General features: G+C 45.5%; 1 long non-coding RNA gene and 1 pseudogene across 2 annotated transcripts in view, besides 1 other annotated feature; one reads left to right on the top strand and one right to left on the bottom strand.

Annotated features, from left to right (window-relative positions):
* Nucleotides 2,784–2,890, bottom strand: RNU6-1264P (RNA, U6 small nuclear 1264, pseudogene; annotated as a pseudogene).
* Nucleotides 18,330–18,624: an enhancer, noted in NCBI's record as "tiled region #13257; K562 Activating DNase matched - State 10:DNaseD". NCBI's record gives its function as "activates a minimal TATA promoter and a strong SV40 promoter by Sharpr-MPRA in K562 cells {active_cell/tissue: K562}" and the evidence as "EXISTENCE:reporter gene assay evidence [ECO:0000049][PMID:27701403]".
* The window catches only part of LOC105371508 (uncharacterized), a 40,615-nt gene continuing 32,672 nt past the window's right edge, over nt 19,506–27,448 (top strand). Inside the window, exons 1-3 of one of the 2 annotated variants that reach the window (XR_934184.2) lie at nt 19,506–19,599; nt 20,193–20,328; nt 20,499–20,713. This is a non-coding gene — a long non-coding RNA (uncharacterized LOC105371508). Of the gene's footprint in view, nt 19,600–20,192; nt 20,329–20,498; nt 20,714–27,448 lie in introns of those variants that run through there. The other variant, XR_934185.3, reaches the window with a different exon arrangement.

Raw genomic sequence — 27,448 nt, 5'->3', positions numbered from 1 at the left:
GTGATTCAGCTCCATAGCCAGAGGGGACTGTGACTTCTTGGTCATTGCTGAATATATAGTGCCTAGGGGAATGGGCATCTTCATAGTTGTCGAATGAGCAAAGCTTTTGAGAATTGAACCAGAGCCTACAAAGGGCTCACGTGCTGAGGACGGTGGGTCTGCAGTCACCTGTCATGTGGACTTAGGAGAAAGGAGCTGCACTGCTTTGCTGGGAAACAGTGAGGAGTTTATTTTGCTGATGAATGGAGCAAAATTATTCCCGAGGAGCAGCATGGATTGAAAGATACAGTGAGGGGTGGGGGTGGGGGGCATATGAGCGCTTTACGCCTAGGGGGTTGGGAATGGGTGTAAGGGGGGATGATGAGGGGGGAATGTGGTGCTGGGGGTGCGTGCTGGTGAGGACTTGCGGACATTGTGCATGCATGTGTGAGGATGCCCACAGTGTGGTCATAGTGAGCATTGCTTCTGTAGGCATTAGAGAGGACACACTGCAGGACCCATTCTAGAAAATTCTAGATAATGAAAACCAATCTACAGTGACAGACAGCAGAAGAGTGGCTGCTCAAGGATGGGGACATAAGCGAGAGATTACCAAGGGCACAAGAAAACTTTTGCGGGTGATAGATGTGTTCATTATCTTGATTGTAGTGATGAGTCTATGAGTATGCACACACATCACAACTCATCAAACTATACAGCTGTGAAGTGGAGGATCCGTCCATTATATTTCAATGAAACTAAAAAGAAAAGGAAAATAAAAAAAAAAGAGAACAAAGCTTCTGAAATCTGTCTGGGTTCTCACCTTGGCTTCCCTACTTCCTAGCTGGGATCTCTTTGGGTAAGTTACTTAAGATCTTGGTGCCTCAGTTTCTGTAAAATGGGAATAATAACTTGCTTATCTCAGACAGTTGTGCAAACGAGTAAGTTAGTAGCTGAGACAAAAGGATGCAAAGTCCTCATCGCAGTAGCTGGCACATTTTCACTGCCCAATGATTGGCACCGGCTATGACGATTTTTCGTGGACATGCCTGGCGCATGCACCTATGTTTATGTGCACGTGGCTGTGAACTTCTGCCTCTGTATCTGTGCCTGTTTATGTATGCAGGAGTGCGGGGTGTGAATCCGTGTGTCTGTCTGTGTCTGTGAGGGAGTGAGTGGGGCTGGGGATTCGTTCTGGGTGTGGGCAGTGAGTTCAGGCATGAATCTTTCCTTCTCCATCTACCACAACCTCCTCCTCCTCTTCCTCCTCCTCCTCCTCCTCCTCCTCCTCCACCAGACCACGTGGGTCTTGTTGTTTTTTTTTTTGTTTTTTTGGGACGGAGTCTTGCTCTGTCACCCAGGCTGGAGTGCAATGGCGCGATCTCGGCTCACCGCAACCTCTGCCCCCTGGGTTCAAGCAATTCTGCCTCAGCCTCCTGAGTAGTTGGGATTACAGGTGTGCACCACCACGCCTGGCTAATTTTTGTATTTTTAGTAGAGATGGGGTTTCACCACACTGGTCAGGCTGGTCTCAAACTCCTGACCTCTCAAACTCCACCTCAGCCTCCCAAAGCGCTGGGATTACAGGTATGAGCCACAGCACCTGGCCCCCTTTTTTTTTGTTTTTTTAAACAGTTACTAAACTGCTACATTTACTGACTCATTCAGTCTTTTATCATATCCAATAACACAGTGCATTTTGGAAATCACATCGCCTCAGTTCCTTCATGGCTTCTGCAAATCAAATTTATTTTACCATTGAAAATGTCAAAAGGATTCAGCCAAAGGAAACCTGGAGCTTTCTGGGGTGCAGGACCCTGAAGCTGGCTCTCAGGCTGCAGCGAAGGACAGGCTAAAATGCCTCTTTTCCATGTGGATTCAATTTATGTGAATTTCCTTAAAGCTGGGAGGCAGTTGGAGCTCCTCCTGGGAGAATAGAACCTTCAGACCTCTCTGGAGCAGGCTCACATGGGAGGAGAGAATTAGTGTCAGCTTCGGGGGTCAACATGGTATCACCAGTTTGCACTGCCCTGAGCTGGGAGCAGGGTAAGAGGAGCGTTGGAGTCCTGGCCCTCGGGGAGGTCACTGATGAGGACAGTGACCCAGGGCGGCCCCGGAGCTCAGGGGACGGCTCCCCAGGCCAGGTCTGCACACACTGAGCAATGATTCGAGGACAGTGTTCACAGGGTGGACTTCTGGACCTGACTCCTCTGGAGTTGAGTCCCAGCTCTGCCACTCACCAGCTGGGCAACCTCGGTTAGGTCGCTTTACTTCTCTGACAGTGTCATGTAATGTGGAGATCAGGGAATCTCAGTGCATAGCCCCCACTTCCAGGTTCTCCATCATATATGCTGAGTCTAAATTGGAATCTAGACCGAGTCAGGGGATTTGTGTACCTCTTTTGTTGTTTATTATTGACACATAATAGTTATACATGTTTGTGGGGTACGGTGTGATGTTTCAATGTATGCACTGTATAATGACTAAAGCATGGTAGTTTAAAAAAATGTGGAATGCGGCCAGGCACGGTGGCTCATGCCTATAATCCCAGCACTTTGGGAGGCCGAGGTGGGCGGATCATGAGGTCATGAGATCGAGACCATCCTGACTAACATGGTGAAACCCCGTCTCTACTAAAAATACAAAAAATTAGCCGGGCATGGTGGCGGGCACCTGTAGTCCCAGCTACACCAGAGGCTGAGGCAGGAGAATGGCGTGAACCCGGGAGGCGGAGCTCGCAGTGAGCCGAGATGGCGCCACTGCACACCAGCCTGGGCGACAGAGCGAGACTCTGTCTCAAAAAAAAAAATGTGGAATGTTTCACAAACTTTTGTGTCATTCTTGAGCAGGGGCCAGGCTAATCTTCTCAGTATTATTCCAATTTTAGTCTATGTGCTGCTGAAGGGGGCACTCAAGTGTCTTTATCAAAAGGATCATAGGTGCACAAGGCCACAAGTCTCAAGTCTCAGGGGTGTTGATTTCCTGATTTCAGAGGAGAGAGACATCTGTATAGGGAGGCTAAAGCTTGCAGTACCTCTATTGAGCACCTACTGTGTGCTGGGGCCTGGCCTGTCCCTGCGGATGCAAATCATAGATGGGCTGCGCCCCTGACTTCCAGGAATCACCCTTGATTGGGATATGGGTGTGGTGAAACTTCTAGGACTCCAGGATCTGTGTTAGGAAGTGGGATAGAGCATGAGGCAGGAACATCTGGGTTCTGATAGAAGGGATCCTCCAGGAGGGCTTCCTGAGATGGGCCCAGGCGAATGAAAGACAGGTGCCTACAGTGGTAAGTAATAGAGGCAGGGGTGTAATTGGAACATAAGGTGGTAGGTTGGGAACAGGAGAGATGAGGTTGAGATGTCAATTAGAGCTGGCTTACAGTGGTCCTGGTGTCAAACGAAGATGTGGGCTTTATCCTGGAAGGATACTTGTGTTTCGAGTAGGGTGTGTCTGGAGTCCCCGGGACCACCTCCTTGTGCAATGATTGGCCAAGAGTGCTCGTGGGACTCAGCATGCAGTCACACTCATGGCTACGATTCATCACAGCAAAACAATACAGAGTAAGGCCAGCAAAGGGAAAAGGCTCCTGGGTGAAGTCTGGGGAAGACCAGGCACAAGCTTCCAAGGGTCCTCTCCCAGAGAAGCCGCACATGTGGTGCTCAATCGCCTGAGCCACAGGTCGGGGCAACAGTGTGAAATGTTGTCTCTCAGAGGAGCTCATTGGAGACTCCGTGCCCAGAGATTTTATTGGGGGGATGGTCACATAGATACCCTTGGTCTAATGCTTACTAAATTTCCAGACTCCCAAAGGCAAAGCAGGTGTTTAGCTTAAACCACGCTGTTTGCACAAACATTTTAGGCAGAGTAAGCCGCTCACATCAGTTAGGATGGGGACCCTTCTGTCACCTACGTTCCCAGACACCAGCCAAGGGCGAGCTTGCAACAGGCCTTTTTAGAATGCCAGAGCCCCACGCCTGTAATCCTAGCACTTTGGGAGGCTGAGGTGAGGGGATTGCCTGAGCTCAGGAGTTCGAGACCAGCCTGGGCAACACGGTGAAACAACAGCTCTACTAAAATATAAAAAATTAGCCAGGCTTGGTGGTGGACGCCTGTAGTCCCAGCTATCTGGGAGGCTGAGGCAGGAGAATCACTTGAACCTGGGAGGCAGAGGTTTCAGTGAGCAGAGATGGTGCCACTGTACTGCAGCTTGGGCAACAGGAGCGAGACTCTGCCTCAAAAACAAACAAACAAAACAAAACAAAACAAAACAAGAATGGTAACGCCAACTCTTTTCTGCACACAGGGGCACTAACACGGTGAGGTTTGCCTGGAAACCCATGTGAGAGGTGGATTGGCGGTGGAGCCAGGAGGCAGGGAGGTCAGTGAGGAAGCCAGCCTAGCAAGAGTCTTCTGGAAAGAAGATGAAGCCTGACCTAGGGCAGCTGTCTTTGTTAGGCTTTTGGTTGTACGTCCCCATGTCAGAGTGGCTCAGGAAAATCAAAGAGTATTTAGTACATGGATTCAGGTATGTCGCAGAACTAACTCAAAGGCAAAAGATTTGGCATTTGCACCGCTGTCAGAAAGGATGGGCTTCTCTTGGTTTTCTCTCCCTAAGACCATGGGGTTTTCTCTTTCGGCTTCCCTCTATGCATCCTCTGCAGTCCCTTTTCTCTACAGATTGACTTTCTTTATGTTTTTGACACAATGGCTGCCAGACAGAAAAGCCTGATCCCTCTCGTATTTACACATTCTCTCTTCCTGTGAGCATCTGGGATTCACACCAGCATTTCTCAAGGGCAATTACAACTGCTTGTGAGAGAGAATTTGATTGATGTGCAATGGATTAGGCATCCTCTTGCTCCAAATTAGCTAACATCAGGGACTGAGAATCACATAGTGTTAGCATGGTTGTCCCATGAGTTGGAACAGGAGCTGAGAAAGAAAGTGGTCTCACGGTTCCTGGACACCAGGCGGTGATCAGTCATTTGAGATACATCTGACGCATCTGAGTTCAGTGAGGGAGATAAATAAAGAAACTGAAAAATTGGGAGGGTGTGAATTTGACATCGTTTCAGTAGGTAAATTTTAGAAAAACTTTCTTCAGCAATGATCATAAAATCAATGGTAGTTACAACTTTTTGTTTTGTTTTGTTTTGTTTTTGTTTTTGTTTTTTGAGCTGGAGTTTTGCTCTTGTTGCCCAGGCTGGCATGCAGTGGTCCAGTCTCGGCTCACTGCAACCTCTGCCTCCCGGGTTCAAGCGATTCTCCTGCCTCAGCCATAAGAGCAGCTGGGACTACAGGTGTGCACCACCTTGCCCGACCAATTTTTGTATTTTTAGTACAGACGGGGTTTCACCTTGTTGGCCAGGATGGTCTCGATCTCCTGACCTTTTGTTCCTCCTGTCTCAGCCTCCCAAAGTGCTGGGATTACAGGCATAAGTCACCGCGCCCAGCCAGTATTTATAAATTTGACAGCAGGTTCTGCTCTCCAGTGGAACTCATTCTGTGCCTTCTGTTCTGGAAGTTCTGAGAGTGAAGGGAGAAGTCAGGAATACACGAGCCGTTCCCCTCACCCTCACTGTTTAACACTTACTAATGGGGATTTTACTGGGGACAGTGAGGCAAAGAAGTTGGATGGCTTTTGTAAGTTCACATAACATGTCCTTAGAATCACATAGAATCTCTCATTCGTTTTTTCTACAAACATTTACAGAGTCCCTAATGGGAGAGTGTCGATCTTTGGGGCAGATGCACAGAGATGAGCAAATGTGCTTTCTACTTTGAAGAGTTTAATCTCGTTAAAGACACAAGTGTGAACGTTCGAGGTGATGGATATCCCATTATCCTGCTTTGATCATTATACATTGTATGCAGGTATCAGAACATCATATATACCCCCAAAATAAGTACAACAATTCTATGCAAGTAAAAAGTTATATGAAAAAGACACAGGTGTGTAAATTGTACATGATTAGTGACATAACAGAGGAGAATCAGTTAGGGATTGTGAGTTGCAAGCAACATAAATGAACTTCGGGTAACTTAAGCAAAAAAAGGAGGAATTCACTAGAAGTATGTGGGATGACTCACAGAATTAAAGATACATTGCAGCACCAGGCTTTGGAAAGCTCGGGAAAGAGAGTTGTCCAAGGATCCAGTGAGTAGGAGAGAATGGACGGTGTTTTCAGGGCTCCAGTTTCAGGAGCAAAGTCACCCCGGTCATTTTCCATCTTGGATCACTTGCTGGCAATTTAAGGCCATGCAAGATAATCTGATTGGTCTAATGTGGACCATCCCCTAGCTTTTTCAGGGCCTCTTGGCTGATGGCACCACCAAGGCTATATCCATAGGAAAAAGAGTAGCCCCCTATAGAGATCTGCATCCTGTAACCAGAACAAGGCAAGGAGAGATGCAAGGAGAGATGCTGGGAGGGGCTGGTGAAGACTCATCATTGGCTCCAGTATCAGCGCTCTTCCATACTAGTTGAGTTTTTTTTTTTTTTTGAGAGTGAGTTTCACTCTCGTCACCCAGGCTGGAGAGCAGTGGCGCAATCTCAGCTCAACTCCTGCCCCCTGAGTTCAAGCAATTCTCCTGCCTCACCCTCCCACATAGCTGGGATTGCAGGTGCCCACCACCATGCCTGGCTAATTTTTGTATTTTTCGTAGAGATGGGGTTTTACCATGTTGGCCAGGCTGGTCTCGAACTCCGGACCTCAGGTGATCCACCAGCCTAGGCCTCCCAAAGTGCTGGGATTACAGGCGTGAGTCACCACTGCTCCTGGCCACTAGTTGAATTTTCTAGATGGGCCTATGACCACCTAAACATTACATTTCCCTGCATTCCTGGCAGGTAGGCATGCCTGTGTAACTAAGTCCTGGCCAGTGTAATTGAAGTAGAGTGCCGTGTGGCAGTTTTTGAAAATTTTTCTTAAAAGAGGGCAGAATCCTTTGTCACCTCCTCCTTGATTCCTGCCCACTCCATCCTGTGGCATTGGATATGCTCTGATGGCTGAAGTTCCAGCCACCATCATGTGCTAAGAGCCTGAGAACCACACCCCAGGGAGAACTGAAGAAAAAAAAGCCAGAGTAGCCTGGATTCCAGAAGATTGTGTAGTTGCCTCCCAACCCTGGGCTTTTATTTGGAGGGATGACTACACTCCTATTCTGTTTAAGCCATGGTTGTTTGAGGGACTCTGTTACGTGCAGCTGAACCAAATCCTAAGAGATCCAGCAGGCAAAAGTATTGATGCCTGCAACAAGAGGTCGTTCCAATTTGCTGCTGGAACCCAGAAGAGAATGCGATAAAATCTACTCGGAAAAGGTCAGGGAAGGCTTCATAGAGGAGGTGACATTTGAGCAAGGTCTATGAAGCAACTGAGCGTTCCAGGCTGGGAGGGAAGGATGGCAGGTCCTGCTCATCTTCCCCCACTACCTTGAGACTCGGTGCATGAATTTGGGAGTCACTCCCTTCTGGCTCCGCGTGGTGTTCTCACAGTCTCCATGACTAAAGGCCACACGGCGGGGTCCTGGAGAAATCAAGCAATTTACCGAAAATGGAGGGAAGTTTGGGCTCAGTGACACCTCAGTTCTTCTGGGAAGAGGCCAATTTCCTATTGCATTTCCACAAATCTGACAGAGTAGATGTCTCAGTGGGATTAAGCGTGTATATGTGTTTGTGTATACACCCCTGAGTGTGAGTGTGTGTGTGTGTAATCGGAGAGCACTCTGGAAGTGTACCTGCAGCCTGATCTTTATTTGCCAAAACCCAGATCAATATTTTTGTTACCAGTTAATTTAATTTCTCTTAGGTGAGAAGACGTTATACTCAATACCTCTTTGGCAGTTTCTGACAGCAAAAAGCTGTACCAGGGCTAGTCCCCATGGCTAGCAGCTTCGTTCCCATTGCCTTGGGAACCATGTAGCTGCTCACAGAAGAGTCACAATGTATGTGAAGAAGTTGGGTGAGGCCATGGGCACAGGGCTGGCCAGAGACCAGTCCATCTGCACTGGGAGGGAATCATCTAGTCCCAAACCAGTTCTGTCCTTGTCTACTCCTCATGAATCCTTGGCTTGGTCTCCATCAGCCTCCTCCAGGGCTGTGAGTAGGCAGGACCCAGTCTGAGAACCTTATAGTAACCACACTCCATGCCTTGGGCATACAAGCCATGCCACTAGCAGATTCCTCTGAACATATTTCTAGCTCTAGGTTCAACCTTTCATCTCTTAGGATGAAGGGAATGGCTGAGAGTAGACCTGCCTGGGTGAAGGCTTCTTTTATTAGGCTGAAATGGGAAGTACATGAGGCTTCCTTGCAATAAAAGGAGCCCTTCCCGTAGCTGCTCAGAGTATCTGACAGGCAGACCTGGCTGGGTTTGGGCTCGAGAGGAGAGACAGTCAGAAGTGAAATGCACACTATTTTCCAGGCACTCCAAGCACCCATTTCATGAATTCAACTCAATTCAACCAGCATTTGAAAACTTCCACTCTCAGACTACAGTCAGACTACAATCACATCCCACCTGACCCATAGCTCATGACTGCCAGCCAGAGACCACCAGAAACACACAGGTAGCTTAACAACATTGGCTTTAATACACAAGTTGAAACAAGAGCAAAGATCCACTACAGGAAACTGTGAAGCATCCCAGTAAGGGAGACTTGAATAGGACTTACAGGAACCAGGCTTATGTTAGGTGATGGCGGACAGAATTCAAGGGAATGGAGCTTTGCTCTGGATTGGATGCTGGTGAAGGTAATTCTGTATCTGGTATCTAATAATTATTTTCTGTAAGGTGAGGAGAATAGAGAGAGACAAAGGCTGTGATTGCTAAAGACGTAGCAGTTCCTCATGGCAGCCCAGATTGGGAGATATTTAGTGATTTTCATGCACCTCTGGATAAGTTTCATGTTGACTCTGTTCAAACATGATTATGAGGGGTCTGGATTGGGTCTTAAGGCATCACAGTCTCAGAGTCTCCATGTCCAATGTTGATGTCCTGCAAAATTGCCCATGTTCAACAGTAGAGCACCAAGGCCTAGCTGAGGATACCAGGCCAGCTCTCGGCTACTGAGGTGCTTTCCTCTTTCCTACCCAGGAAGCATTCCCAGATGTTTCATTTTGTCCACTCTGTGCAATGGCCTGTGCACTGGGAGTCCAGAGAGGAAACAGCCATAGTTCCACCCCAGGGGAGCTCTCATCTTAGAATGGGGACAGGCTTGTCACTAATTGTGGTAATATTCTCAATTCATAAACTCAGCTGAGCAAAAAAAATTAGACTTTATTTTTCTGTAATTCAACCTAATTTCTGTCTCAAGCGTCCCATTCAGCTGGGATAGAAACTTATTTTCAGTTGCTATGGTCTGAATGTTTGTGTTCATAAGTTGAAATCCTCACCCCCAAGATGATAGTATGAGGAGGTGGGGCCTTTGGGAGGTGATTAGGTCAGGAGGGTGGAGCCCTCATGAATGGGGTTAGTGCCCTGATAAAAAAGGCTGCAGGGACATCCCTTGCCCCTCCTACCATGTAAGGACATGATGAGAAGGCATCATCTATTGACCACGAAGCAGGCCCTCACCATCCGGTGAGGACACAGTGAAAAGGCATCATCTATTGATCAGGAAGCAGGCCCTCACCATCCGGTGAGGACACAGTGAAAAGGCATCATCTATTGATCAGGAAGCAGGCCCTCACCATCCGGTGAGGACACAGTGAAAAGGCATCATCTATTGATCAGGAAGCAGGCCCTCACCACACGCTGAATCTACTGTTGCCTTGATCTTGGACTTCCCAGCCTTCAGAATCATGAGAAATAAAATTGTGTTACTTATAAGCTATTCAGTTTATGGTATTTGGTTATAGCTGCCTGAATGAGTTAAGAAATCTGTAATTGTCTCCCTGTCTGTCTTCACGGCTGCATCTCCATGTTCAGGAGGGCTGATATAGTGGAAGGGGTGTGGTCAACAATTTGAAATAAAAATTCTAGGTGATGTTATCAAGGTGGGGTGGGGGAAAAATGGGTGGACATGGCCTCACCCAACTCAACTCATAATAAAACTATGCTAAGGTTTCATCTCAGTCAACCAGAGGGATGTATTTACAGATTTGTGCTGGAAATTGCTTAAAAAATGTATGTTTGCTAATAAAGTTATAGAAAATGTAATTTTAAGTCCAGCACAGGAAAAATATCATATCTGAAATAACAACAAAAACAACTTGATCAACCCCATGAGAAACAAGGAAAGGAAAATAAAGAAAAAATAGGAAGTTGGGAAACCAAAATAAAACAGCAGAAATAAATATAGATTATCTATTACATAATGCAAACATATTAAATTTACCAATTAAAAGAGATTCTTAAATTTGATTTTTAAAAAAATGGTTGCTATTTAAGAGCATCTATAACTATTTATATAAGAGCAACTCATGTACTATTTAAAAGCAAAAGAGCTAAAACTAAATGACACCAAAGTATTACAAATAAAGAGATAAATAGCAATAACAGACCTGCAAAAGAAATATAGTCAGGCATCACTTAAAAACTGGGATACACTCTGAGAAATGTGCTGTTAAACAATTTCGTTGTGTGAACATCATCGCGTGCACTTCACAGAAACCTGGATAGTATAGCCTATTACATACCAAGGCTATAGCATATAGCCTACTGCTCCCAGGCTACAAACCTGGACATCGCGGTGGTGTACTGAATACTGTCAGCAATTGTAACACAATAGGAAGTATTTGTGTATATAAACATAGAAAAGAGACAGTAAAAGTGTGACATAAAAGATTATTTAAAAATGACACTTCTGGCCGGGCGCAGTGGCTCATGCCTGTAATCCCAGCACTTTGGGAGTCCGAGGCAGGCGGATGACGAGGTCAGGAAATCGAGACCATCCTGGCTAACACAGTGAAACCCCTGTCTCTACTAAAAATACAAAAAATTAGCCAGGTGTGGTGGCGGGCGCCTGTAGTCCCAGCTACTCGGGAGGCTGAGGCAGGAGAATGGCGTGAACCCGGGAGGCAGAGCTGGCAGTGAGCCGAGATCGCGCCACTGCACTCCAGCCTGGGCGACAGAGCAAGACTCTGTCTCAAAAAAAAAAAAAAAAAAATGACACTTCTATACAGGACATAAGTTTCTATACCAGCTGAATGGGAAGCTTGAAACAGAAATTAGGTTGAATTATAGAAAAATTAAGTTTTATATTTTTGCACAGCTGAATTTGTGAACTGAGGATATTACCACAACTAGTGATGAGAATATCCCCGTTCTGAGATAAGGGCACTTACTATAAATGCAGGAGCTTTCAGGACTGGAACTTGCTCTGGGAGAGTCAGTGTGTGAGTGGTGAGTGGGCATGAATGTGAAAGTCTAGGACATTACTGTACACTACATAAATACTGTGCACTTAAACTACACTCAAATTTATTTTAAAATATTTTTCTTCAATAATGAATTAACCATAGCTTATTGCAACATTTTTATTTTATAAGCTTTAATTTTTAAGAACGGGCACGGTGGCTCACACATGTACTCCCAGGACTTTGGGAGGCTGAGGCGGGCAGATCACCTGAGATCAGGAGTTTGAGACCAGCCTGGCCAACATGGTGAAACCCCATCTCTACTAAAAATACAAAAATTAGCCAGGTGTGGTGGTGCACACCTGTAATCCCAGATACTTCGGAGGCTGAGGCAGGAGAATCACTTGAACCTGGAGGCGGAGGTTGCAGTGAGCTGAGATCACACGACTGAACTCCATCCTGGGCAACAAGAGTGAAACTCTGTCTCAAAAATAAAATAAAAATAACAAAAACCTTTAATTTTTAAAGTTTCTGACTCTTTTGTAATAACACTTAGCATTAAATATATACATCATTGTACAACTATAAAAATATTTTCTTTCTTTATATTCTTACACTATAAGATCTTTTTTATTTAAAATTTTTTTCTTTTTCTTTTTCCTTTTTAAACTTTTTTTGTTAAAAACAAAGACACAAGCACACACACTAGCCTAGGCCTACACAAGGTCAGGGTCATCAATATCACTGTCTTCCACCTCCACATTTTGTCCCACTGGAAGGTCTTCAGGGGTAATAACATGCATGGAACTGTCATCTCCCGTGATAACAATGCCTTCTTCTGGAAAACTCCCTGAAGGACCTGCCTGAAGCTGTTTTACAGTGAACCATTTTTTATAAGCAGCAGAAGTACATTCTAAAATAACGATGAAAAATACAGTATAGTAAGTATATAAAGCAGTAATGCAGTCTTTTATTATCATTATCAAGTATTATGTGCTGTACGTAATCGTGTGTGTGCTATACTTTTATATCACTGGCAGCACAGTAGATTGGTTTACACCTACATCACCAAAAACACATGAGTAATGCATTGTCTATGCTGATGTTATGATGGCTATAACCTCACTAGACAATAGGAATGTCTCAGCTTCATTATAATCTTATGGGAACACCATCATATACTTGGTCCGCCATTGACCAAAATGTCACTATGTAGTGCATGACTGTATTAACATCAGACAAAACTGAACTTAAGATGGAAGATATTAAAAGTATTAGGGACAGGCATTGCCGTGTATGAATCCGTCAATACCAGCCTTGAAATATACAAAGCAAAAACTGAAATAATTAGAGAGAAGAGTTGACAAATAAACAAATATAGTGGGCGATTTTTAAGAAATCTTTTTCAGAAGCTGGTGGATTAAAAGGAATGTATAGTTATGTCTGCATAAATGTAAATTTAAACTTGACAAAGAGAGGATACATGTCAAAAAATGGGCTATGCACAGACCACAAAAGAAGTATCAATAAATTCCAAAGAATCTTCATTACTTACAGTTTCTCTATCTGGTATGCAATAAAATTAGTAATCAACAACAAAGAGATGTTTTAAGTACATGTTTGGAAATTAAAAATCACACATCTAAATTATCCAGGGGTTAAAAAAGAAAATCATAACAGAAATTAACAGGTATTTCAAATTGAAAGTAATAAAGACATTACATATCTCAGCTTGTCTGAGGCAGTTTCACTGGTTCTTAGAGGGGTAATTTATAGTGTTGAATGCATTTATTAGGAAATTAGAACAGCTGTATATAACCCACAATCCAAGCAATCAATTCAAGAATCTGGAAAAAGAATCAGGGAAACTAGAAAGAAGGGAATAATGAAGATAATGATAGAAATGAATAAACAATAAAACAAATAATAGACAGCCACATAAAATAAAGACATCAGCAAAACTAAGTGTGGTTGCTTGGAAAGGCCAATGTTTTACCGATTTTGGTAACAGTAGTTCAGAAAAAGAGAGAGAAGGTGTACATGAACAATATTCAAAATAAAAAGAAAATGTCCGCATACAAACTAGAGATGTTTTACCATAAATGAGTGCTCTGAACACCAGGTGCCAATCTGTCTGAAACCCTGGAGAGTGCCTCTTTGATTCCATTTAGACTCCCACAGGTCACAGCACAGAGCCTGGGACAGCGCAGGCCCCCAACAGAGATGTGTTGACTGGCAGAGCAGAATTAAAGCTCTGGAGAACAGCAGCCTTTCATTCCGTTAAGACTCCTTTCACAATTGCTCAATTCAGAATCATATCAGAACAAATGCCACTTGGTTGAATCCCATTTACTCAATTGAGAAATGGGATTCAACCAAGTGGCATTTGTTCGGAAATGACTCATGGAGCCAGGGGAGTTTGATCAGGGAAGGTGAGGTCAAAAATCAGAAAGAAACGGTTACCAGGGCTCCAAAGCAGGAGATTGTCAGATGAAGAAGGTGGAGAGAGGAAGCCACTAAGCAGGAGAAACAGCATTTGCCAAGGCAAAGAGGTCAGGATGGGTACCGTTGGTCACTTATTACTTGTGTAGCTTTGGGCAAGTCCCTTAACTGATCTGAGCCCAAATGTCCTCATCGTCAAGCTGAGGGTCATCCCAGTGCCAGCTTCGTGGAATTATGAAGATGAAATAAGCTAATGAATGTAAGGCTCCTGTTCTGGGGCCACTCAAGAGTCAGCACTTAATAAACGCAAGCGATGGTTGTGACAATGATGATGATTATTGGTTTTAGCAGTAGAGTGGCACAGGATGTGTGGGGTCGAAGAGGAGTGTAAGAAGACAAAAGGAAAGACAGGTTCAAGTGAGACTGTGAAGGGTCATAAACACCACCCCAAAAGGCAGACATTATTCCAGGTCTCCCAAGGAGTCATCGAAGGTGTTTGAGTTGGGACTTGCTATATAAAATAGGGCACAGCCCAGTGAAAGGGAAGTGTACCTGAGAGTCAGCTATGGAGGGGGAAAGATGCCCATGGAAGGGAACTCCTTGGGGGTCCTGGCCACACAATATGTCATGGGTCTTACCACCACCTAAATCTCCACTTTTCAAAATATTTTCATTCCCTTCTATTTCAATTTCCCCAGCTGTGTGGCATCAGAGCTGTGTGTGTGTGTGTGTGTATGTGTATTTAAATATTGGAAACCACTAAAAGCAAAAGAATAGCTCTACACAAATTCACTCCACAGCCACGTTTCTTAGCATCCACCTATTCTCCAAACAAGAGCATGGTGGAAGAACATTTATCTAACTTGGCTAATTAGAAAATATCTTTCCCTGCTTGGGTAGAAGTCCAGGAAGGCAGCATATCTGGTATTCTCCAGCTTGTATGCTGTGGAGTTGGCTGGCCTTGCCTGCTTAAAAAAGCTTCAAAGGATGCAGCTGCTGCATTTAATTTCCCTATCACTCTGCCTCCTGAACACACAGGCACCCTCAGAGGATGCAGAGACCTGCAGTCCTGATGAGTCTTAATAAAATGTGCTACAGAAAGTCAATACCCTGTCGAGTGAGACCTGCCTGCTTCCTTCTGTTAAAATAACATTTTTAAAAAGCTAATTCATAGAAAAATATAGGGGCTGGTTGATGAGTCAGTATTGCTGTATCCACTGATCCAGTCCTTTAGTACACATTCCAGACCCTGCTGGCCTCCACATTTATACCTGGAACCTCTCTGGTACTTACCCCTTTCCTTTACCTGTGTCTCCCTCCATGCTTGCTCAGATAGGGGCTGATTTAATGTATTTAACAAACATATATGAGGCACTAACTATGATCCAGGTTCAATGCTGGGCACAAATTATCCATTGATGGGTAAGATACATTCTTAGCCCTCAAGGGTCCTGTGGGGAATCAGGTAAACCAGAATGCAGGCAGTGTGATGTGTGCTCCAACTAGGGGATGTAGGAAGGGGAGCAGGAGCATTGGAGATACAGAACCTGAGTCTGTCAAGTAGAACGTAGGATGACTCCACCAAAAAGGCAGCATTCGAACTGAGACTTGATGGGTGAGTGGCAGTTTTCTAGATGGGCAAAATGGGGGAAAATATCCCACGCATGATCCAAGGCAGAGGTGCATGGGACGCTGCTGTGATTGGGCAACTCCAAGAAGGCTGTGATAGAAAAAAGCCCCACTGCTCAGCCAAGCATCTGCATGGGACTGGCCAGCCTGCAAAGACACCAGAGGATGTCTTGGTGTAGCCCGTGGATAGGAAGCATCCTTGCCACCATCACCATCACCATCACCAACTCCATCACCACCACCTCCTTCGCCACCATCTCCATCACCACCACCTCCATCACCACCACCCCCATCACCATCACCCCCATCACCACCACCCCCATCACCATCACCACCACCCCCATCACCATCACCCCCATCATCACCACCCCCATCACCACCACCACCATCACCACCACCTCCATCACCACCACCCCCATCACCACCACCACCTCCATCACCACCACCTCCATCACCACCACCACCACCACCTCCATCACCACCACCTCCATCACCACCACCCCCATCACCACCACCACCATCACCACCACCTCCATCACCACCACCCCCATCACCACCACCACCTCCACCACCACCACCTCCATCACCACCACCTCCATCACCATCACCACCATCTCCATCACCACCACCCCCATCACCACCACCACCACCACCTCCATCAGCACCACCCCCATCACCACCATCTCCATCACCACCACCTCCATCACCATCACCACCACCTCCATCACCACCACCTCCATCACCACCACCTCCATCACCACCACCTCCATCACCACCACCTCCATCACCACCACCTCCATCACCACCACCTCCAACAACACCACCTCCATCAGCTCCTGTCTAGCAGAAGCCATTTTCTTTCTTGCCCTAAATTTCTGCCATGGCCCCATTAAAGATGAAAATAGGAATTTCAGCCCTCCTGGAAGTGTGGGCACATCGTTTTTACCCTTGTCTCTACCCCCTCGCTCATTCCTCCCTAGGGGAGAAGTGTCTTGACTGGCCTGAGGTTCTGTTAAAGGATTGAGCATGAGTTGCTGGGTTTCTCTGGATCATTCTCTCTTTTTGACCAGCCTGACTATGGCTGCAGGTGTTTTTCTTCCTCCCCTGTATATGATAATCTCACCTGGGCAGTCATGGATGGGTACATTCAATTTGGGTAGAAATCCAGGTTTGGTTCAGAAGTTTCAAGTAGCATTTTCCAACCAAGTCTTACTAGGAAAAACAAAACAAAACAAAAACTGTTTTGTTACCTGTCTGTTTCTTGTCTCTATTACTCAATTGCTTCAGAACCTGGAGGAGTGTATCTATTATTTATTACCATATAATGCTACATAAAATTGCTACTTATCCTCTGTAACCTACAAGCATTGCATTTGTTGTGCGTGTGTCTGGGGTCAGCTGCAGGAGGCCCAGCCGCTCTGCTGATCTTCGCTGGGCTCACTCATGTGTCTGGCAGCTGGTGGGCTGTTGGCCCATCTAGAATGGCATTGGCTCTCCTTCATGTGAATCTCATTCTCTGTAGGCAAGCCTGGGCAAGTTCTCAGGGTTGTGGTGGAGAAGCAGAGAGGAAGCAGAAGCAAGCAAGATCTGCCGAGACCTAGGTGTGGAACAGGCTTATCATCATTTCTCCTGCATTCTTTTAAATGCAGCAAGTTGCAAGACCTGTCCAAATTCAGTGGGAGAAAAGACTCACGCTCTTTAGGGAGAGGAACTTCAATGGGCATGGATACAGAAGGGGTAAAGAGCTGAGATAATGGGCATGATTGCTATCTCAGAAACATAATCACTCTCACCACCATTATGAACTTGGCCTCACTACCACCAAGGTTCGTATCCTCACCTTCATCATGGACCCTCTGTCTGTGTGAAATTCATCTTACAATATACACAGTTCTTTCTATCTGATGGATGTGAACATGGCTTACAAACTCTAAACCCAGGTTCTAATGTCAGGGATGAATCATTTCATTGAGAGAGAAAGAGATGGCATCATTTTCATCTTTCTTTCTTTCTTTCTTTCTTTCTTCCTTCCTTTCTTTCTTTCTTTCTTTCTCTTTCTTTCCTTCTTTCTTTCTTGCTTTCTTTTTTCTTTCTTTTTTTTTTAGAAATGGGATCTCACTATGTTGCCCAGGCTTGTCTCAAACTCCTGATCTCAAGTAATCCTCCTGCATTGGCCTCCCAAAGTGCTGGGATTACAGGCATGAGCCATTGCACTTGACCATCACTTTCATTTTCTACGTGAGAAAACTAAAATCTGCCGACATCTGCTGATCGTGCTAAGGTCACACAGCTGCACAGTAGGGAGGCCCAGGCTCTTGTCCCCACCTGCTTATTGAGTGGCCAATGTGTGCCTCTATCAGCATCAGCAAAATGGCGTGTTTGTCTTTTTGCCTTCTCTCCATCCACAAAATCCGAGGCTTCCTAAAGCAGAGCCTCTTTCAGGATACGGGCAGTCAGCTCCCTTGAATCCGGAGGCTGCCTGTCTCACCCCCGAAGCTTAATTAAAATGAAGATGAAGTACTCTCCATGACGGGTCACACTCAGTGGCAGCCACCGTGCCAGGGACCCTGTCGGCCCTCTGATGCCGAGAATTCTTCTCCAGCTTCTACTCTGGCAGCAGCTTCCTCCGGGAGCCTCATTATAATTCCTTTGGTAATTAAAACAACAGATGTTATAATTAAAAGGCTCCTCATTAAATCACAAACAACCGAAGCTTGAGGTGGGTCCGCACTGAACAGTGTCACCAAGTCACCTTTGAAAGGGAATAAAACTCATGTGAAAGGGAGGTCTTGGCCCGATTCAGCTCCGTAAAAGGCAGCCGGGCTGGGGGTGTTTGTGAGGTGCTGGGAGATGCATCAGGAAAGCCCACAGAGGGTCCTTGGATCCGAGTGAGGGGATATGTGGTGGGTGATAGAATGACCCCCCAAGGCTGGGATGGAGGAGACAGCCAAGTGGAAGAGCCCTTGTGGATGCCCTGTCTTGCTCATTCTTTTGTACTCAGGGACCAGGAATATAGGGAGCTCCCAAGGCAACTGAGACATTGAGGACTTGGCACAAGAAAGCGGAGGAAAGTCCTAGATAAGGGCTCAGGATACTTGTTTCTTATCTCGCTGGGCCACTCGTCCTCTCATTGTCCCTGAGTAAGCCCCCTCTCTGAGTCACAGGACATTTGTCTGGGACATGGACAGAATAACACCTAACTCTGAGCTCCTGGGGCATGAGATGTTTGTAAATCCTCCAGCTTGGTGTCTGGGATGGAGGGACCTGGGAGTGGGAACTACCTGGGGTGCTAGGAGGTGTTTCCAAAAGGCACCTCACCAAGGAGCTACCCAGGCACAACTGCAGTTGATGGCTGACTTTTTTTTTTTTTTTTAGACAGAGTCTCATTTTGTCACCCAGGCTGGCGTGCAGTGGTGTGATCTCGGCTCACTGCAACCTCCACCTCCTGGGTTCAAGCGATTCTCCTGCCTCAGCCTCCTGAGTAGCTGGGATTACAGACACGCACCACCACGCCTGGCTAATTTTTGGATTTTTAGTAGAGACGGGGTTTCACCATGTTGGTCAGGCTGGTCTTGAACTCCTGACCTCATGATTCATCCACCTCGGTCTCCCAAAATGCTGGGATTACAGGCGTGAGCCACCGTGCCCGGCCGATGGCTGACTTCTGACTCATGTCCATGCATCTACAGGGGAAGCTTTCCAGGGAGGATTTCTCAGGATTGTGTGTTGCGTATGTTGTGTGTGTGTGTTGGCTGGGGGTGCTATAGCTGCATCAAACCCCCACAGAAGGGTAGCACCGCTTCAGCTCCCTTGCCCACTTCTCACCTCCCCACTCTGGCTATGCAGCTGATCTAGAGGGAGGTGTAAACAGCTCAGGGCAGTAATAACATGTTTTTATTGAAAGAGCCCGACCTCAGCCCTTCACTGCAGTCCAAATTGGCTTCCAGTCTCTCTCGCCTCTTCCCAGACATTGTCCTTGGGCGACCCTCATTCTGTCTCTCAGCGTGTTTCCACGACTGTGAACTGAGGGCATTGATGCCCCTGCATGAGTCATCTTGATTATTTGATGATAGAATAGTGGACCTGAATGCTTCTGCAGTGCCCACTGCATGCCAGGAAGGTTCTAGAACTTTACCTACATCAATTCATTTAGTCCTCACAACAGCCCTCTGGGAGGGCAAGTGGAAGAGTGAGTAGATCAGCTGGATAGGAGTGAGGAGTTGGAGGAAGGGTTGGGGTATGGCCAGGTAAGTGGCGGCCAGTGTGGCAGGGCCATGAAGGCTGCTGCAGAAATGTCTCTGAGTGGCTCAGGCCCTGCCCAGCACCATCTTGAGCCTCTTTCCCATCTCTGAGGCCCACCTCAGGGCAGTCCAGGCCCACATGCACCAGGCAGGCAGGTGCAGAAGGAAATGATGCTCCTTCTCTGGGTGGCCTGAGCCAGGCCAGAGTTTCATCCCACTAGCTTAGAGCAGCACCAGGTCAGGTGGCACTGGGAGAGGTGAGACGGAAACTAAGGCCACTTCAAATATCAGAGCAGGAGGGGGAGACCTAGCTTGTCCTGAATACTCATTACCACATCTCCAGCCTAGCACTATGCCCAGCACGTGGAAAACACTCAATCAGTATTGGATGGATGGATGGATGGATGGATGGATGGATGGATGGATAGATGGATGAATAGGCAGACAGACAGACAAACAATGATAAGTGGGCCCTATAACTACTATTTATTGAATACCTACCATTCAGTGTGTGCTAGACATCACATAATTCTATCTATTCCTCACAGTGACCTTGCAAGGTAAGCTTAATAATTACCATTTTACATTGCATTTTACAGTGCAGTTAAGTGACTTGCCTTAGTGCACACCCCCAGAAAGTGACAGCACCAGCATTTGAACCCTGACACAAGCATCTCCAAAACTGCATTCTTCCCACTGTGCCACAGTTAAGATGAGTCCACCAGCCCTGTTTAGGTGAGTTCTGGCCCTCCCTGTGTGTCCCCACATGCAGCCAACTGCATCCAACCTGTCCATGCCAGGTCCTGTCCTGAGAACAGTGGGCAGTGCTGGGCTTGGGGCGTGTGCAGGGGGGCGAGGGGAGCCCAGTGGAGGCTCAGACTGATTTCACCTGGCATTTCCTCAAGACTTTGGTGTTTGAACTGCGTTTTGAAGGCAAAGAAGTCAGATAGACAAATGAAAGAGAGGGAAAAGGCACTCCAGGTAGCAGGAACAGCATGTGCAGAATCAAAGAGGCATGAAGAAAACTTAAAATGTAGTCTTCCAAGTCATGTACCCTAGAACTTAAAGTATAATAAAAAAATAAACATAGAAAAATAAAATAAAATAAACTTTTAAAAAATGTAGCCTTCTTGCTGGTGGCAGTGATGGGATGGGGTGACAGGGACAGGAGAAATGGCAGGAAGAGGAGGTTGAAGCTAAGCTATGAAGGCCTTGGGGTGTCAGGCCAGGAAGGGAGAAGACATAGAAGTCTAAAGTTGGGGAATGTGATGCTCGGATATTCAATAAGAAAGTCCAATCAGGGCCGGGCGCGGTGGCTCACGCCTGTAATCCCAGCACTTTGGGAGGCCGAGGCGGGTGGATCACAAGATCAAGAGATGGAGACCATCCCGGCTAACACGGTGAAACCCCGTCTCTACTGAAAATACAAAAAATTAGCCGGGCGTGGTGGCGGGCGCCTGTAGTCCCAGCTACTCAGGAGGCTGAGGCTGGAGAATGGCGTGAACCCGGGAGGCGGAGCTTGCAGTGAGCCGAGATCGCGCCCCTGCACTCCAGCCTGGGCGACAGAGTGAGACTCCGTCTCAAAAAAAAAAAAAAACAACAGAAAGTCCAATGAGCATTAGGGATAACGATGACCAGAGGCCGAGAGACGTGATGCACAGGTCTGGGTAATTCCAATTACTATTTTTTTTTTTTTTTTTTTGAGGCAGGGACTCACTTTGTCACCCAGGCTGGGGTGCAGTGGTGTGATCTCAGCTCACTGCAGCCCCAACCTCCTGGGCTCAAGCAATCCTTCCACCTCAGTCCCCCAAGTAGCTGGGACCACAGGCGCATGCCATGATGCCCAGCTAATTTTTTTTGTATTTTTGGTAGAGATGGAGTTTTGCCATGTTGCCCAGGCTGGTCTCAAAGTCCTGATCGCAAGTGATCCAATTGACCTCCCAAAGTGCTAGGATTACAGGTGTGAGCCACCGCGCCCAGCCCCAATTACTCTTATGAATCAAAATTATAGCAGAATGGGATGAAATTATCTTTGGAAACCATCTCTATCCCCCTGGTTGCATAGGTGATGAACCTGATGCCCAGAGAGGGGCAGCAACTGGCTGATGATCACACAGAAGTCAGTAGCTGACCAGCACTGGTAGCAGCAGCTCGAGGAGAGGTGGACATTCTTTCCTTTTGTCTTTTGTGACTCCTGGTGCTGAGCAGAAACCAAAGTGGTGGCTTCATGAATTGTGGAATCCCAGCACGTCTGGGAGGTTTGTGTAAAATGATGCTAGTAATAAATTTTTTCCCCTTGAGGACAATGAAGTACAAAAGGAGGGGGCCAGTGCTTGACAGGAGCTCTGATTAAAGCAAAATACAGACGTTTTCAACAATAAAGGCTGCTGGCGCCACAGAGAAATGAGTGACGCAAAATACAACAGCCCGAGGCCGAGCTGGGAGAGAAGGGGGGCTGCAGGGTGACTGAGTCAGAGGCTGAATGAGCTGGAGGTGGGGAAGACACCTGTGGCTGCTGTCTTACAGCTCCATTGCTGCAGGAAAAATTCTGCCCGTTGCATCCAGGCGGGCCCCCCGCCCTGATGCCTATACCCCCGCTCTCCTCTTGCCAGGGAGTCCTGTGGCTTCCTGCATAGCAGACAGGGTAGCTGCATGCTATAGAGTCTGATCAAGGAATTTTTTCTGCACAAATTTATTTTTAAAAAGTAACTCATTGAATTAACTTGCAGTGGTATGGTCTTTATTTTCTTTTCTTTTCTTTTTTTTTTTTTTTAGCATTCTGCCACTTAGAAATAAATAAGAATAGACACAATCCCACAGCCCAGACTCCCATAGGCTCGGCTCTCCCCTGGAGATGCAGCTTAGTGTATGAGTAAGCTAAGGCTCAGGTGACCCCTCAAGAAGGGGAGGAAGTTCCCACACTTGGATTCCCTTTCTCACACCTAGGCAGTGCTCACAGCCTACCTTGTACAGTGTGTTCTTCATCAGTGCATATCCTGTGCTCCAGGTAGGTCATGTGCTGCAGGAGGAGAGGCCCTGTGGCATCTCCCTCCAAGAAATGGCCGTACACACCATGCTCAGGAGAAGCCAGGCTCTGGTTACTCAGAGCAGAGTGTCTGGGTCCTCCCTTCCATGAGCCTCAGTTTCCTCATCTGTCACATAGAGGATCAATCTGCATCACCTTTGAGTTTGCCTGAAGCATCAATGAATAGGGCATTTGTCCCCTAGACTGGTCTAGCTGTGGTTTCTGCCAGTGACTCAGAGGGGGTCTGACCCAGGATATGTGTAGAGAGCCTGATGTTTCTTGGAGGGAGTGCCTTAATCCATCTGGGCTGCTGTAACAAGCATGCCATAGGCTGGGGCTTTCAAACAACAGACATTTATTTCTCTCAGTTCTGGAGGCTGGGAAGTCCAAGATCAGGGTGTTGGCCAATTCAGTTCCTGATGAGGGCTCTCTTCCTTGTTTGCACACAGCTACCTTTTTGCTGTGTCCTCTCATAGAGGGGGTAGAAATCATATCTCTTGTGTCTCTTCTCAAAAGGGCACTAATTACCTTCCAAAGGCACTACCTCTTAAAACCATCACATTAGGGAATGAGGCTTCAACACATGAGTTTTGGGAGGATACAAACATTCAGTCCATTGTGGGGGTAAGTGGGGGCTGTGAGCCTACAAATGCGGGATCTGAGCACTAGCATGGAAGGCGCTTATAGGGTCTGGAGTCCATCCTCACCGAAAAGGCACAGTGAATGGTGTGAGCTGGTGGAGGCCCCATGGGCTGAAGCATGGCTACCGACAAGTACAACCCTCTTCCCCTCTCTGGGTCTCATTTCTTTACTTGAAAAGTAAAAATAGGTAATGCCTCTGTTCACTGTTGTGAACAGAGAATGACATTATGAATGAGCAAATGATCTTTTCTTTTTCTTTGGTTAATATTGTTAGTATTCTAATTATACAAATAATATATGAATATATTGTTACTGCACACATTTAAACAATGATGTTAACATGTAAGTAGACCTTTACCATCTATCCCAGGCCCCCGACCCTCCTTGGAGGTAACCACTATTCTCATTAAATGTCTGTTCATCTATGACTTTTATTTACACGCACATACATAGGCACGTTTAGAAATAAAGAACTTTCCTTTTCTTTTTTTCTCTTTTATTTTTTAATTTTTATTTTATTTTATTTGAGATGGAGTCTCACTCTGTCACCCAGGCTGGAGTGCAGTGGCACAATCTCAGCTCACTGCAACCTCTGCCACCCAGGTTCAAGCGACTGTCCTGCCTCACCCTCCCAAGCAGCTGGGATTACAGGTGCCTGCCACTATGCCCATCTAATTTTCGTATTTTTAGTAGAGACTGGGTTTCACCATCTTGGTCAGGCTGGTCTTGAACTCCTGACCTCGTGATCCACCCACCTCGGCCTCCCAAAGTGCTGGGATTACAGGCGTCAGCCACTGCGCCAGGCCTTTTTTTTTTCTTTTATAATGAGATTGTATTAACTGGGTCTTCTGATCAGGATCACACAAGGTTGCCATCAAGGTGTCCACTAGGCTGTGTTCTCATCTGGAGGCTTGAATGGGAGAAGCGTCCAAGTTCATTCCAGCTCATTCAGCCTGTTGGAAGAATACATTTCCTTGTAGCTGCATGACTGAGGGCCCCATTTTTTTTTTTTTTTTTTTTTTTACTGGCTATTAGATAGAGACTGCCCCTGGTGCTAGAGGCCACCCAAAGCTCTTTGCCACATGGCCGTCTCCCTATCTCTAGGCAGTTAGCACATGACGGTTTGCTTTTCAAGGCCAGCAAGAGACTGTTTTCAACCTGCTAAGACATAGTCCTGAAAATGTAAGGTGGTCATGAGAGTAATAGCTCATCACCCTTGAAATATTCTATTGGTTAAAAACCCACCCACACTCAAGGGGAGGGGATTACACAAGGGTGGACTCAGTGTGGGTCACCTTAGGGTATGTCTACCCCAGGGTGGTAATATTCCTCTTCCAAGCCCTGTGTTGGTTCCAGAGTCCTGCACTCTCTCCCTGCTACTTCCCTACACCTTGCCTAAATCTTTGTAAATAGCCTCTTTATTAAATTGTCCTCAAATTACCCAGTCTGAACATGCTGTTTTTGTGCCTGACCTGTCACAGAGACCAGTAGCCAGGGCACAGTTTTGCAAACTATATATGTGAAGGGTAAAATCCAAGGGGAAGGATGAAGGTAAAAAGGAAACAAAGACAGGGGTTGCGAATTCTTTCCAAACCCAAGCAGTCCATACACAAGCAGAAAGTCCGACTTTATTAGTATGGAATAAGGGATAAACACGTCTTCCTCTTTCCTCTACCAGATTCTATAAGGAAAAGTTATTCTTAAACACCCCTGACTTCTCTCCTCTCTGTAACCTCTATCTGCTTCTACCAGAAGAGGAGTGAATTATTTGGCTGGTGCCTTTGGGACTGGGACCTGGGCCGCCTAACTTAGTTTCTCCTTCTGCTTCCTCTTTGAACTCCACCTGCTGCAGAGCATGTGTATTCTGCGCTGCTGCTTCATGCAGAGGAGGCCTGGTAATGTTCTGCCTGTGGCCTGTGTCTATTTCTAATTCTGGGGTTCAGAATATGGAAGCACATGGTTGTAGCATATCCCAACCATATCCTCCAAACCAGCTTTAAAAGGACTGTATTTTGACTTTTTAAATGATAGCCATTCTGACTCATGTGAGATGATATCTCATGTGGGTTTTTATATTTATTTATTTATTTATTTATTTATTTATTTATTTATTTATTTATTTGATGGAGTCTCACTCTGTTACCCATGCTGGAGTGCAGTGGCATAACCTCGGCTCACTGCAACCTCCATCTCCCAGGTCCAAGCGATTCTTCTGCCTCAGCCTCCGGAGCAGCTGGAATTACAGGTGTGCACCACCACACACTGCTAATTTTTTTTTTTTTTTTTGTATTTTTAGTAGAAATGGGGTTTCACCATGTTGGCTATGTCACCAGGCTATTCTGGAACTCCTGACCTCAAGTGGCCCACCCACCTGGGCTTCCCAAAGTACAGGCGCTCATTGTGGTTTTGATTTGTATTTCTCTGATGACTAGTGATGTTGAACATTTTTTCATATGCTTATTGGTTGCTTATATGTCTTCTTTTGAGAAGTGTCTGTTCATGTCTTTTGCCCACTTTTTAATGGGGTTGTTTGGTTTTTGCTTGTTAAGTTGTTTAAGCTCCTTAGGGATTCTGGATATTAGACCTTTGTTGGATGCATAATTTGAAAATATTTTCTTTCATTCTATAGGGTGTCTGTTTACTCTGTTGATAGTTTCTTTAGCTGTGAAGAAGCTCTTTAGTTTAATTAGGTCCACTTTTTTGTTGTTGCAGTTGCTTTTGAGGACTTAGTCATAATTTTTTTCCCAAGGCCAATGTCCAGAATGGTATTTCCTAGGTTTTCTTCTAGGATTCTTATAGTTTGAGGTTTAACTATAGTTTGAGGTTTAACTTATAGTTTGAGGTTTAAATTTGACATTTAAATCTTTAATCCATCTTGAGTTAATTTTTGTATGTAGTGAAAGACAGGAGTCCAGCTTCATTCTTCTGCATATGGCTAGCCAGTTGTCCCAGCACCATTTATTGAATAGGGAACCCTTTCCCCACTGCTTATTTTTGTCAGCCTTGTTGAAAATCAGATGGCTACCAGGTGTGTGGCTTTATTTCTGGGTTCTCTATTCTGTTCCATTGATCTATGTGTCTGTTTTTGTACCAGTACTGCTGTTCTGGTTATTGTAGCCTTATGGTATAGTTTGAAGTTAAGTAATGTGATTTCCTCTAGCTTTGTTCTTTTTGCTTAAGATTGCTTTGGCCATTTAGGCTCTTTTTGGTTCCATATGAATTTTAGATTTTTCTCTAGTTCTGTAAAAAATGATGCTGGTTGTTTGATAGGAATTGCATTGAATCTTTAGATTGCTTTGGACAGTGTGGCTATTTTAACAGTATTGATCCTTCCCATCCATGAGCATGGAATGTTTTTCCATTTGTTTGTGTCATCTATGATTTCTTTCAACAGCGTTTTGTAGTTCTCCTTATAGAGATCACCTCCTTGGTTAGATGTATTTCTAGTTTTTTTTTGTGGTTATTGTAAATGGAATTGCATTCTTGATCTTGCTTGTAGCTTGAATGTTATTGTTATGTAGAAAGGCTACTGATTTTTCTACATTGATTTTGTATCCTGAAACTTTATTGAAATTTTTATCAGATCCAGGAGGCTTTTGGCAGTTTTCAGGGTTTTCCAGGCATAGAATCATATAACCAGTGAACAGAGATGGTTTAACTTCTTTTTTTCCTATTTGGATGCCTTTTATTTCTTCCTCTTGCCTGATTGCTCTGGCTAGGACTTCTAGTACTATATTAAATAGGAGTGGTGAGAGTGGGCATCCTTGTCTTGTTCCAGTTCTCTGGGGAAATGCTTTCTGCTTTGGCTCATTTGGTATGATGTTGGCTGTGGATTTGTCATAGATGGCTCTTATTATTTTGTGATACTACTTTATCATATGGATAATACTTTATTATATAATAATAATAGGTTCCTTCAATGCCTGGTTTGTTGAGTTTTTTTTTTTTTATCATGAACGGATGTTGGATTCTATTGAAGGCTTTTTCCACATGTATTGAGATAATCATATGGTCTTTGTTTCTAATTCTGTTTATGTGGTGAATCACATTTATTGATTTGCGTATGTTGAACCAATGTTGCATCCTACAAATGAAGCCTACTTGATTGTGGTGAATTAACTTTTTGATGTGCTGCTAGATTCTGTTGGCTAGTATTTTGTTGAAGATTTTTGTGTCTATGTTCATCAG

Source organism: Homo sapiens, chromosome 17, assembly GCF_000001405.40.
Source record: "Homo sapiens chromosome 17, GRCh38.p14 Primary Assembly".
In the NCBI taxonomy this organism is placed as follows: Eukaryota; Metazoa; Chordata; class Mammalia; order Primates; family Hominidae; genus Homo; species Homo sapiens.
Note: the sequence above shows the minus strand (reverse complement) of the source record. Positions and strands in the feature narration are given on the sequence as shown.